We start from the raw sequence: 13,673 nt of genomic DNA on the forward strand, positions 1-13,673 counted from the left end.
AACCCCATCTCTACTAAAAATACAAAATTAGCCGGGTGTGGTGGCACCTACCTGTAATCCCAGCACTTTGGGAGGCTGAGCCAGGCAGATCACCTGAGGTTGGGAGTTCAAGACCAGCCTGACTAACATGGAGAAACCCCATCTCTACTAAAAATACAAAATTAGCCGGGTGTGGTGGCGCCTACCTGTAATCCCAGCTACTTGGGAGGCTGAGGCAGGAGAACCCAGGAGAAGGAGGTTGCAGTGAGCCGAGATCGCGCCATTGCATTCTAGCCTGGGCAACAAAAGCGAAACTCCCTCTCAAAAAATAAAAAAATTTAGCCAGGTGTGGTGGTGTGTACCTGCAGTGCCAGCTACTCAGGAGGATCACCTGAGCCTGGGAAGTTAAGACTGCACTGAGCCATGATGGTGCCACTGCACTTCAGCCTGTATGACACGGCAAGACCCTGTTTTGAGAAGAGGAAAGAGAGAAGGAAGGAAGGAAGGAAGGAAGGAAGGAAGGAAGGAAGGAAGGAAAAGAAATCAATTAGGGAAGAAATAAGCGGTAGAACTAATAAATAAGGTAAAAAGCTGGCTTGTTGGAAAAAAGCCAATAAAATATACAACCACCAACTAACCTAATCAAGATAGGAGGGTGGGGAGAAAGCTTCCCATACAAACTAGGAAACGCTAAATGGGAAAATAACCAAATAAGCAGATAATTGTTTTAAAAAATAAGATAGTACTTAGCAAATAAAATTTAAAACCTGAATAAAATAATTTCTGGACAAAAATAATAAATCAAATGGATCCCAGAAGACATAGCTAATCTACACAGGACAACTTCCACATTAGAAACAGAATTATAAAAGGACTACCATTACAAAACAAAAGCACCAGGGCAAAACATTTTGGGAGGGAATCCTGGAAAACTCAGAAATAACAGATAATGTTTAAACTGTTAAACAGGAACATATAGAAAGGAAAATTTAAATATATATATATATATATATTTTTTTTAAGACAGGGTCTGCTGTCACCCAGGCTGGAATGCAGTGGCACGATCATGGCTCACTTACAGCCTCTACTTTCCAGGCTCAAGTACATGATCCTCCCACCTCAGCCTCCTGAGTAGCTGGGACTACAGGCACATGCCACCATACCAGGTTCATTTTTAGTAGAGATGGGGTTTCACCGTGTTACCCAGGCTGGTCTTGAATTCCTAGGCTCCCACCTGCCTTGGCCTCCCAAAATGCTGGAACTACAGGCACGAGCCACTGTGCCAGGCCAAAAAAAAAAAAAAAAATTTAAGTAAAGCAAATACTTAAACCAAAACCTGACAACGGCTTCACAGAATATCCTTCTGACCAATTTCACTTATGAATATTATTGTAAAAATCCAAAATAAAATATAAGCAAATAGAATTCAGCAGCACATTAAAATTAAATGGAGGCCAAGTACGGTGGCTCGTGCCTGTAATCCCAGCAGTTTGGGAGGCTAAGGCAGGTGGATCACTTGAGGACAGGAGTTTGAGACCAGCCTGGCCAACATGGCAAAAACCCATCTCTACTAAAAATACAAAAATTAGCCCAGTGTGGTGGGGCACAACTGTAATCCCAGCTACTTAGGAGGCTGAGATACGAGAATCGCTTGAGCTTGCGAGGGACAGGTTGCAGTGAGCCAAGACTGCACCACTGCATTCCAGCCTGGGTGGCACAGTGAGACTCTGTCTCAAAAAATAAAAAAAATAAAAAAATGGGGGTGATTCAGGAATGCAAGTGGGGTTTATTCAAAGAATGCAAGGATGGTTCAACATAATTAGGAAATCATGAATATAATTCATCATATTAAATAGATCTAAGCAGAAAAATCATCATCCCCAGTGACACCAAAAAACATTTAACAAAGTAGCCAACACTTAGTAAATTATGAATCAATGGACACTTCCTTAACAAAATTATATAGATTAACACAGAAGCCAGGAACCAGCTTCATACTCCAGAGAGTACGAATACACAGTTTCATACCTGGGCACTAATACTAAGCTCAGGGAAGACACAGATGCTGCCACCACCATCACTATACTGGGTGTATTTATCAGAGGAATTTGACAAAAGAAAGAAAACGCAATAGAAATAGTTAAAACTATTGCTATTTTCATATGATATTATTGTATACCTGGAAAAGTCAAGATAAATAATTGAAAAAGTAAAAACTAAAGATGGTAGTATAAACACACACACTTAAATATAAATAACAAGTCACTAGAAGGTATGGGAAAAGAGAAGACCCCGCTTACAACAACAGTCGCGATACTCAGGGTTAAACTTAACAAAAGATATTAAACATCTATGTGAGGCTGGGTGCAGTGGCCCACACCTGTAATCCCAGCACTTTAGGAGGCTGAGGCAGCCAGATTGCTTGAGCCCAGGAGTTCAAGACCAGTCTGGACAACATGGTGAAACCTCATCTCCACAAAAAATTACAAAAATTAGTGGAGCATGGTGGTATGCACCTGTGGTCCCAGATACTTGAGAGGCTGAGGTGGGAGGATAGTTTGAGCCCAGGAGGGGGAGGCTGCAGCAAGCCAAGATGGTGCCATCTCACTCCAGCCTGGGCAACAGAGCAAGACTCCAGCTCGAAATAAATAAATAAATAAATAAATAAATAAATAAATAAGAACAATGCAGCCTTGTGGCTGACGCCTATAATCCTAGCACTTTGGGAGGCCAAGGCTGGTGAATGGCTTGAGCTCAGGAGTTTGAGACCAGCCCAGGCAACATGGCAAAACCCTATCTCTACTAAAAATACAAAAAAAATTAGCCAGGTGTGGTGGTGCACACCTGTAACCCTAGCTACTCAGGAGGCTGAGGCGAGAGAATTGCTTGAACCTGAGGGATGGAGGTTGCAGTGAGCCAAGATCACACCACTGCACTCCAGCGTAGATGACACAGCAGGACTCTGTCTCAAAAAAAAAAAAAGAAGTGACAACCTGGGACAACTTAAATGCAGCTCATATCACATAAGTCGAATTTTTCTAATATATAAAGAGCTCCCAGAAATCAATAAGAAGACTAACACCCCAAAACAAAATGGGCCAAAGACAATTCACACACATACAAAATATGACCTCTAAACAAGTAAGCTAGAGCAAGGATCTTTTTATAAGTAATAGAAATGCAAATGGACATACTCAGATAGCATCTCTCACATATCAGATCAGCAAAAATCCAAAACACTTAACACATTATTTTGGCAAGGCTGTGAGCAAACAGGCATGCTCATACACAGCCAGTGGGCATGCAGACAGTGCTCAGCCGCAATTTAACAACATCTATCTCACTCTGGGGCTTTATCCTACAGATGAATGACATTTGCACAAGGTCACAGGTTTGCAGTTGCAAAAGATTAGAAACAACCCAAGGTCTTTCTTGAAGAGGCTGATTAAATAAACAATGATATAATGATAGCATGGAAATGGGCAGAGACCAATGCTGTTTTTACTCAGTCATCTCCCCTGGGGCCAGCACAGATCCTACCACATAGTAAGTGCTCAATACATATTTTCTGTATTTTGTTTTTTGTTTTTTTTTCCACCCCCGAGTCTCGCTCTGTTGCCCAGGCTGCAGTGCAGTGGCATGATCTTGGCTCACTACAACCTCCACTTCCTGGGTTGAAGAGATTCTCCTGCCTCAGCCTCCCGGGTAGCTGGGACTACAGATGCGTGCCACCACGCCTGGCTAATTTTTGTATTTTTAGTTTTACCATGTTGGCCGGGCTGGTCTCGAACTCCTGACCTCAAGTGATCCACCCACCTCGGCCTTCCAAAGTGCTAGGATCACAGGCGTGAGCCACCGTGACTGGTCTCAGTACGTATTTTTTTGAAAGGATGAGTAAATGATACCAGTCCTGCCCACAAAGCCGGGATCAAATGTGATAACTAATCCTGGGAAATGCCCTTTGCAAACTATAAACTCTACGCAGATGCAAATTACAGCTGCCTCATTATTTGAAGGTACAAATCAAGTCACATGCCTTTAGCTCTTCATGGTAAAGTACCTGACTACTTGCCAGTCCCAAGAGCGCCTTTCTTCCTTCCCTGAGGCCACCCTTCCCTCCCAGGGTCACTCTAGCTCCCCACAGGAAGCTGGATCTGGCTGGGTGGGGCTGGCTTCTCAGGGGCAGAGTGAAATTCCCCGCAACCCCTCCACCGGGTTTTATCTCAGTTCCGAAAGCACTGAGTGACCTTGAATCTGGGCTCTTACACCTTCGCTCTGGACACACGCACATGCACACGTGGGGATATCCTGTTGTGCCAGGCTGCCTGGATGTGGATAAGTTTTCTGACTTGGTCACTTGCTATGCGCAGAGATCCCAGAGATGCAAATCGCAGGGAAAGCTCTTCACAGGGAAATCTTGCCTGGCAAATGCAATGCCCATGGAAAGGGCATCTAGAAATCTTGGTCTGAGTTAGAAGAGTCCTGAGTTCGTTCTATTTGAAAGAAAGTTTCCATATTGCTTCACTTTCACCTGTTTTACTGTCTTAAAGATTAAAAATAACCAGTAGCAAGGCCGAGTGTGGTGACTCACACCTGTAATCCCAGCACTTTGAGAGGCCGAGGTGAGTGGATCACTTGAGGCCAGAAGTTCAAGACCAGGCTGGCCAACAGGGTGAAACCCTGTCTCTACTAAAAATACAAAAATTGGCTGGGCGTGGTGGCGGAAGCCTGTAATCCCAGCTACTTGGTAGGCTGAGGCAGGAGAATTGCTTGAACCCAGGAGGCAGAGGTTGCAGTGAGCCACTGCACTCCAGCCTGGGCGACAGAGTGTGACTCCGTCTCAATAAAACAACAACTACAACAAAAATAGTAGCAAAAGAGAGTGCTCATTCTCCCCCCGCTCCCCCAGCATCACCTACTGCGTGTTCTTGTCATTAACCACCTTTGCTAACTGGATACTGCCTGAGAAGGGGCCTGTCTATCTTCTACACCCTGCTCTGTAGCCTCCCCCTCAATTCTAAGCCTCAGTTTCTTCATCTGTAAAATAAAGAGCTGAGAAAAGACAATCTCTTAGGACCCTTCTAGAAAGGCCTTCCTAATCTGGTCTCCTGGCACCACCTCTGTCCATTCCATCAGAAGCCAACATCACTGACCTCTTAGAGCGGCTCCATGCCACCCGCCCCCTTGGGTCAAGGCCAAGGGTGCAGAAGACCAAGTCAGGAGGTGACAATTCACAGGTGAGAGTTTCTGCTCAACCTCGTGCAAGAAGTCATCCTGGAAAGAAACCAGACAAGTCCCCAGCACTGCCCTTCGCACCTTGACTGTTCATCCAACAAGTGCCTGGGCGCCAATGTTGTGGCGGCCCCTCTCCAAGGTCAGGGAATATGTACAACAGGGAAGAGAAGGATTGTCTTTGGCTTCATGGAGCTGACATTCTAGTAGGGGAAAATTAGTGAAGAAACACATTAGGTGCTGGCCGGGCACAGTGGCTCACACCTGTAATCACAGCACTTTGGGAGGCCGAGGCGGGTGGATCACCTGAGGTTAGGAGTTCGAGACCAGCCTGGCCAATCTGGCAAAACCCCACCTCAACTAAAAATACAAAAATTAGCCAGGCATGGTGGTGGGCACCTGTAATCCCAGCTACTTGTAAGGCTGAGGCAGGAGAATTGCTTGGACCCAGGAGGTGGCGGTTGCAGTGAGCCAAGACCGTGCCATTGCACTCCAGCCTGGGCAACAAGAGCGAAACTCTGTCAAAAAAAAAAAAAAAAAAAAGACAGACAGACAGACAGACAGACATCAGGTGCTGACTGGGCGAGGTGGCTCACACCTGTAATCCCAGCACTTTGGGAGGCTGAGGTGGGAGGATCTTGAGGCCAAGAGTTCAATACCAGCCTGGGCAACGCAGGAAGACCTCATCTCTACAAAAAATAAAAATAAAAAAATTAGCCAGAGGCCAGGCACAGTGGCGCATGCCTGTAATCCCAGCACTTTGGGAGGCTGAGGCAGGAGAATCTTGAGGCCAAGAGTTGCGTGGGAAACATAGGGAGACCACATCACTACAAAAAATAAAAATAAAACAATTAGCCAGGGGTGGTAGTCCTAGCTATTCAGGAAACTGAGGTGGGAGGACTGCGTGAGCCCAGAAGGCTGAGGCTGCAGTGAGCTATGCTCATACCACCGCACTCCAGCCTGGGCAACAGAGCAAGACTCTGTCTCAAAAAAAAAAAAAAAAAAAAAAAAAAAAAAAAGGCAGGAATGGTGGCTCCCTCCTGTAATTCCAGAATTTTGGAAGGCCAAGGCGGGAGCATCACTTGAGCCCAGGAGTCCGGGACCAGCCTGGGCAACATAGTGAAACCCCGTTTCTTCAAAAAATACAAAAATTAGCATGTGCCTGTAGTCCCAGCTACTTGGGAGGCTGAGGTAGGAGGATGGTTTGCGCCCAGAAGACTGAGCCAGGGTTTCATAACTGCACACCAGGTTGGGCAACAGAGCAAGGTCCTGTCTCAAAAAAAAAAAAGATCAACCTAGCCAACATGGTGAAACACTGTCTCTACCAAAAATACAAAAATTAGCCAGGCATGGTGGCTGGCACCTGTAATCCTAGCCACTCGGGAGGCTGAGAATCGCTTGAACCCAGGAGGCGGAGGTTGCAGTGAGCCGAGATGGTGCCATTGCACTACAGGCTGGAAAAAAGAAAGAAAAGGAAAGAGAAAAAGAAAAGAAATAAAGAAATACATCAGGGGGTAAAATGTGCCAAGAGAAAAATGCACTCAGGGAGATGGGCTGCGGGGCAGGGGCTACTACATACAGTTGGGTTAGGGGGTGCTGCTCTGAAAAGGGGACATTTGCGCTGAGGCCTGAAGGAAGCCAGGGAACACACTGTGGGGCCCTGGAGTAAGTGACTCAGGGAGGAGGAAGATCAGGGATTGCAAAGATCCAGGGGCGAGTGTGGCTGAGTTCTGAGCAAACAGCAGAGTATGTGGGGTGGGGGGGTTCCAGGACAGGAGGTCAGAAAGATAAGGGGAGGGTGGGCCACAGGGGGCCTTGAGAGCTGCTGAAGGACTTGCCTTTTGATTGGGATGATTTTGGGAGTGCTACAGTGTGACTTACGTCTTAGAGATCTAAGAGAGCAATACAGCTTCATACCATAAATTCCAAGGCAACATTGTCTCCCACCTTAAGGTAGTTCCTGCCTTCATTTCATACATTTCCTATCTTGACCACCAGAAATGTGGTCAAGATAGGAAATGTTTTGATCTTTTTGGCTTTTATAAACAACACCATGGTAACCATCACTTACATCTTTGAGCATGTCCTTAATTACTTCTATAGGATTGGTTCCTAGAAGTGAGCCCTCTGGGTCAAAGGAAATGTAATTCAGGGCTGGGCAAGGTGGCTCATGCCTGTAATCCCAGCACTTTGGGAGGTGGAGGTGTGAGGATCACTTGAGCCCAGGAGCTCCAGACCAGCCTGGGCAACATAAGTGGACTCCTTCTTTGCAAAAAATTAGCAGGGAATGGTGGAGGGTGCCTGTGGTCCCAGCTACTCAGGAGGCTGAGGTGGGAGGATCGCTTGAGCCCAGGAGGTTGAGGCTGTAGTGAGCCATGATTGCACCAGTGCACTCCAGCCTAGACAACAGAGCAAGAACCTATCTCAAAAATTATATTTAAAAAAAAAGGTAACTCCTGGAATCAAGCAATCCACCCCCTTCAGCCTCCTAAAGTGCTGGGATTACAGGTGTGAGCCACCACACCTGGCCGGAAAGATACAATCTTTTTTTTTGTTTTTTTTGAGATGGAGTTTCGCTCTTTTTGCCCAGGCTGGAGTGCAATGGTGCAATCTCAGCTCACTGCAAACTCCGCCTCCTGCGTTCAAGCGATTCTTCTGCCTCAGCCTCCTGAGTAGGTGGGATTACAGGAATGCACCAGCACACCCAGCTAATTTTGTATTTTTAGTAGAGATAGGGTTTCTCCATGTTGGTCAGGCTGGTCTCGAACTCCCGACCTCAGGTGATCCGCCCGCTTCGGCCTCCCAAAGTGCTGGGATTACAGGCATGAACCACTGCGCCCGGCCTCAGAAATATAATTTAAATCTTCAGATATGGAGCCCTAACCTGCTCTCTCCCACTCCTACTCCAGGCTCAGGGCACACTTGCCTCACCACAGGCTCTCCCAGGGCATAGGAGGGCGAGTGGGGTGCATGACCATCCTCTCCACCACTGGGGTGAGTGGCAAATGTGATCTCACTGTTGTTTCTGTTTGCACTGCTGACGGGGTGAGAAGGCTTCTCCAGTGTTGAGTTAACATTTATTAAAAGCTCACTGTCAGGCCTGGAGCTGTGTGGTTTAATAGTAACAATGGCGTGTATTTTCTGAGCACTGACCATGTGCAGCCGTTGGTCAAAGTGGTTTCCTGCTTTGACTTGTTCAATCCCTCACCATCCTGTGTGGCAGGTCCTCTTATGATTAACTACAGTGTAAGTGTAGAGGAAACCAAGGCCTGCTGGGCAGCGGCAGAGCGGGGTTCAAACACCCTTTGCTGGGGGAAAGGGGTCTGTCTACCTGTGGCCCAGCCTCATTTGCCTGGGGCTGCACCAGGGCTAGGGGCTCAATCTCACTGTGGCCAAGAGGAGGTGCTTGACTCTGAGACTCAGTCTCCTTGTCTGTAAAATGGGAATAACAGAGCATGGTGGCTGAGAGGGTCTGGTAAGGTCAGGTAACAGTGTCTGGCTTAATGGGTAGAGGCCTACCCCCACCTGAAGGGGAAGGAGCAAATGATGGTCACAGATGATCAGGGCTCTCTGGGTCCCGTAACTATATCTGGGACAATGACTTTCAAACAGGTGAAGACAGACACTCTTCCTGTTTCGCTCTCATGTGCTGGTCCACCTGGCTCCCTGTCTGCCAGCTGACTGCACAGCGTGACCGCAGAAGGCTGTGGTGCTCCTGCTGGAGTAGGCTTGTGGTGGGTGACAGTGCGGGCACAGGGGAAGGTGTGTGGGCACAGGGGAGGGTATGTGGACACTGGTCTGGAAGGGAAGGGGGCTCCCCTAGTCCTGTGGCCAACTGCACAGCTGGAAGCTCCTGAACCCCCAGGATATGTCCAGAGGGAAGACAAAGGTGGCAGATGGGAGAGGAAAAGGCACTTATTCAAAGAGCTGCCACTTCCTGATAGCTACAAGAAACAGAGCCTCGGAGAGAAGAGCAATTCCCAAGGGCTTGTGGTTGGTATGTGGACAGCCTGCTTTGAACCTGGCCCTGCATGGACTCACCCTGAACTAGGCTCTCTCCTCCCTGCGTAGTCATCAATGGGAGTGTTCACACCTGCTCCCTCCCAGGGAGGAAGCACCAAAGACTGGGGCCCTCCCCTCCGCTGACTTCCAACTCCCTCTGGGGAAGATCAAAGCCAATTCATCAAGTGTCCCCCAAGCCCCTCCCTCTTGCCTCCTGTCCTCACCAGCCCGGGAGGATCCTTGGGAGCAGCACTGCATCCTCCCACCTCCTCAGTCCTCGGAGACCTCAGCCTATCAACCTGTCCCTCCTTCTCCTGGGCCTGAGGGAGCTGAGCTCTCTCTTCTAGCTTTCCCATCAGCTCATAAATGCAGCCAAGTCTCCCTCATCAGAAAGCACACACACAGATAAAGTAAAACAAAAAACTTGCTGCTCCTCTCTATCTCTCTGTCTCACAGACATACACCCACACACACACCCACGCACGCACAAACACACCCACAAATAAGAGCCAAATGATAAACTGGGGAAAGATCCTTGGCACACAAAGACCAGACAAGGGGTAAAACCTTACTGATGAGCTCAAACCAATCAATAAGCAACACACAAAGAACCTGGCTTCTCGTACTCTGACCCAGGAGTTTCATTTCTAGGAAATACGAAGAAATATCTAGCTGGGTCCAGATACAGCCATTCTAGAAGTTCATACGCACTGATTACCAGGTTAATTCCTTCCCAGGAAAGATGTGGCCATGTATAAATGTATGCAGAAATTCAATGTAACATTATCAAAAAGAGCCAAATATATTTTTAAAAAGTCAAGAGATCCAATAACTCAACATGACATAGCAAAATGCAAGCATTGAAAAATATAAAAAATGTCTGCGATGAGGAATGCTCGTGAAATTATACTAATGGAAAAATATTTTATATAGACAAGATATGCAAATACAGAAAAACGTGTTATTTTATTATTTATTTATTTATTTTTGGAGACGGAGTCTCGCTCTGTTGCTCAGGCTGGAGTGCAGTGGCGCCATCTCGGCTCACTGCACTCTCTGCCTCCCAGGTTCAAATGATTCTCCTGCCTCAGCCTCCTGAGTAGCTGGGATTGCAGGCACGTGCCACCACGCCCAGTTAATTTATTGTATTTTTAGTGGAGATGGGGGGTTTCACCAAGTTGGCCAGGCTGGTCTCGAACTCCTGACTTCAAGTGATCCACCCGCCTCAGCCTCCCAAAGTGCTGGGATTACAGGCGTGAGCCACCTCGCCCGGCTGGAAAAACGTGTTTTTAAAGGTCTGGCAAAAAAAAAGGCAAATGTTAACAATAGTTGTCTTCAAGTATGCAAACAGGAATTGTTTTTCCTACTTCTTTCGGTTAATTCATTCAAACAATATTCAGGAAGCACCTGCTAGGTGCCAGGCCTGGCACTAGGCTCTGGGATCTGGACAAGGGTCCTTCCCTCCAGGAGCTTCCAATCTGGAGGGAAGCATGCGGTGAGCCAATGAAAATGCAGGGTGATCAACAGGAGTTTGTGAGCACGCCTAGCAGGTCCCCAAAGAAGGAGGCAGCTGGGGAGAGTGAGAGGAGGTGCACTTCAGAACTCAGATGGCTGGCTTGGTGGTGGAGGCCGTCCACCTGCCACCACCTTCCGGGACCTGCATCCCCAGCTGAACTGCATCCTTGGAGGTCTGAACCCAGTGGCCCCGTGGCCAGGTGGGCTTGGGAGTTGCTAGCTGGGGCTGATGTGGTAGTTCACAACCTCCTGGTGTTCCACACAAACCACCTGGAGATTCTGCCAATCCTGCTCCACACTGGGGTCCCAGGGCCCATCACACGAACTGGAAATTAATGGACCCATTAACCTAGCAGCTAGAGGGCTTCAATTAGTACAAGGAAACAAAACATATTTTGTAGATGGCTGTCCATTTTGGAGTTTATCCTCTAATACTGAGCTGTCCTAGCAGACAAGAAACGACAGGCACCCAAGGCATTAGAAAAATGTTTGAGAGAAAAACTAATGACAACATTGGGTGTAGTGGTGTGTGCCTGCAGTCTCAGCCACTAGGGAAGCTGGGGTGGGAGGATCGCTTGAGCCTAGCAGTTTGAGACTACAGTGAGCTGCCACAGCATTCCAGCCTGGGTGACAGAGGGAGACCCTAAAAAACAAACAAACAGAAAACTAATGACAGAGAGGATTCCATCTCTCCTCTTCCTTTCTTTTCCTTTCTATTTTGTTTTCCTTTGTATTCCTTTGATTTGGGGACCCTCTTTTGGGGGGTTGCAGCTATGGAAACACAGTGTAGCAGGGTTTCGGGTCCTGGAGAAGGTTTGAGGCTGGAAGAGGGCTGTGGGAAATCTTGAGGGAGGCCTGGCTCCATCCGCACTCTGCTATGGGACCCTGGGCAGGGTGGCTCCCTCATTCTTTGGGAGGAGGTGACAAAGGGGAAGTCTTTGGGCAGCTGGTGGCGGGAACGGGAAGGCCAGACCTGGCCTGAGACCCACCAGGTGCTCGGGGTTATTTGCTGAGTGCAGGGTACGTGACCCCAAGGGGCCTTCGCGGAACAATCACTCGACGTTGGCGGAGGGGAGGAAGCCGCAGAGAGGGTGTCGTGAGGGAAAGGTGGGTGCAGGGGAAATGGCGCTTTAACCCACTCAGGGCCAGAGGCTCAGCCGAGACTATCCAGGTGGGAACTTGTCCCTCCGGATGACAGGTGATGAAACTGAGGGAAGGGGACTCGCCCTGGCAGTGAAACGGGATGGGCGCTGGGACCAGGTGCCCCGGCAGATCCTCTCCCAAGCCCAGTTCCGCTCCCGCTCAGTCCTCAACCTTCCCCAGCTGGAGAGGAGGGAGGGGCGCCTGCGGATCCGAGGCGAGCGCGGAGGCCGGGCGACTCCAACCGGCTCGCCCCGTGCCCAGCTCGTACCCAGGCCGTTTCCCGCACGGGGAGGGCCCTTCCCGCTTCTGGGCAGGTCCAAATCCTCACCCTCCCTAAGGCCGGCGCCGACGCTGCCAGCCCGGCAGAGCCCCCTCCTGCCGGCCGCTCTCCATCCCCGTCCCCGGTCGCATCCGCTCCGGGGCGAGCACCGCCCGACGCCCAGGCTTCCCCCGGACGGAGGAGCGCGACTCACCCACGGTGGCCGGGCAGAGCCTGCCTCGAACCCGGCTTCTCCCCGACGCCCTCTCTCCAGCCCCGGGACCCAACCGGGTGGGGCTGCCCTCGAGGGCTCCGGAGCCAGGCGCGTCCTGCCCGCGAGGGCCGGGGCTCCGGGTCCCGCCGCCGCGCTCCACTTCGGGGCGCAGTTGGGGTGGAGGCGGTGGCCGGGACCGCCGCGCGGGGTTCGTGCGCGCACAAATGTCGCCTCCAGAACAGGTGGCCCGGGCTAGGGCGGCGGCCCAGCCCCTCCGCCCCTGCCCCTGCCTTCCCGAGGCGCCTCCTCCCCACTGCGAGCCGCAGGATCCCCCTGGAGCCCCCGTCCCCCGCAACATCGGCGCGGCCCCTCGTACCTCTAGCTCCAGCGGCGGCGGGCGGCGGACAGCGGGGCCCCGGCGGGCGGGCGGCGCGGCGGCCGGAGGGCAGTGCCTGGGGCCCGGCGGGAGGCAGCACCGCCCCTCCGGCCCGGGGCGGGGTCAGGCCGCCCCGCCCCGCCCGTCCCGACCTACCCTGCGGGTCCCGGTCCCCAGAGCCCTTGCGGGGTCCCCGCGACCCCGCCCGCGCGCCCTCGCTGCTCCCCGGGGCGGGTGCGGACAGTCCCCAGTCCGCCGGCCAACAGGTAGGGAGCGCTCCCCGGCCTCCGCGCCGCCAGTATTACGGGTTACCATCCCGTTTTCCCCATTGAACTGATGAGAAAACTGAGGTTCAGAGGGTTGAGTACCTCGATATTCTGCAGTGGAGAAGGGACGCTGTCACCCCTGGGACCCGGGTCGGCCTGATCCCACCGCCTCCTGCCGGGACCGTGCTAAGGGCATTGCCTGCATCACCCCAGTGTTTGCGGAATTCCAGTTATTTGCTGTATCCTTAACGCCGCCCCGTCCTTTCTCTACTCCTCCTCCTCACTCTCACCTCGCCCCATCTTCACACATATTGCTATTGGTAATTTGTTCAATGTGAGAAATTGGAATGTATCACACACAATTCGTGTATCATAAAACTGTATTTTATTCTCTTTGGAACATGCCATGTTTCCAGCATGTCACAGTCCTGGTGCTTTTAGTTCTTACTCCTCTGGGACAACAAAGACTGCAAAAAATGAAACCATTGGGTGACTTCTTGAGTGCTGACGCCCATCCTCTCACTCAGCTGATGACCCAGTGCCCAAGCCACTGAGAAAATGGAACCTCTATCCTAGCCCTGAGAAAGAGCCTGGCACTCAATGGGTGCCCAATAAATACACTTCGAATGAAGGAATCAGTAGAAAATTCCCACCAGCTCCCCCACCCACCCGCTGAGGTAGCACCCA

The 13,673-nt window shown here is 50.4% G+C and overlaps 1 protein-coding gene across 12 annotated transcripts in view, besides 4 other annotated features; it reads right to left on the minus strand.

The window, feature by feature from the left end:
- Nucleotides 1-13,225, minus strand: part of A4GALT (alpha 1,4-galactosyltransferase (P1PK blood group)) — a 29,181-nt gene extending 15,956 nt beyond the window's left edge. For 6 of the 12 annotated variants that reach the window (XM_005261647.4, NM_017436.7, XM_005261644.3 and 3 more), the window contains exon 1: nucleotides 12,721-12,794. The gene's annotated coding sequence lies outside the window, so the exon portion shown is untranslated. Of the gene's footprint in view, nucleotides 1-5,132; nucleotides 5,496-10,160; nucleotides 10,511-12,344; nucleotides 12,795-13,088 lie in introns of those variants that run through there. The other 6 variants (XM_005261648.5, NM_001318038.3, XM_047441412.1 and 3 more) reach the window with 4 other exon arrangements.
- Nucleotides 3,544-3,673: an enhancer, noted in NCBI's record as "active region_19176". NCBI's record gives its function as "activates an Ori minimal core promoter by ATAC-STARR-seq in GM12878 lymphoblastoid cells {active_cell/tissue: GM12878}" and the evidence as "EXISTENCE:reporter gene assay evidence [ECO:0000049][PMID:35858748]".
- Nucleotides 12,234-12,363: a silencer, noted in NCBI's record as "silent region_13840". NCBI's record gives its function as "represses an Ori minimal core promoter by ATAC-STARR-seq in GM12878 lymphoblastoid cells {active_cell/tissue: GM12878}" and the evidence as "EXISTENCE:reporter gene assay evidence [ECO:0000049][PMID:35858748]".
- Nucleotides 12,444-12,673: a silencer, noted in NCBI's record as "silent region_13841". NCBI's record gives its function as "represses an Ori minimal core promoter by ATAC-STARR-seq in GM12878 lymphoblastoid cells {active_cell/tissue: GM12878}" and the evidence as "EXISTENCE:reporter gene assay evidence [ECO:0000049][PMID:35858748]".
- Nucleotides 12,704-12,893: a silencer, noted in NCBI's record as "silent region_13842". NCBI's record gives its function as "represses an Ori minimal core promoter by ATAC-STARR-seq in GM12878 lymphoblastoid cells {active_cell/tissue: GM12878}" and the evidence as "EXISTENCE:reporter gene assay evidence [ECO:0000049][PMID:35858748]".

The sequence above is a fragment of the Homo sapiens genome, chromosome 22, assembly GCF_000001405.40.
Source record: "Homo sapiens chromosome 22, GRCh38.p14 Primary Assembly".
In the NCBI taxonomy this organism is placed as follows: Eukaryota; Metazoa; Chordata; class Mammalia; order Primates; family Hominidae; genus Homo; species Homo sapiens.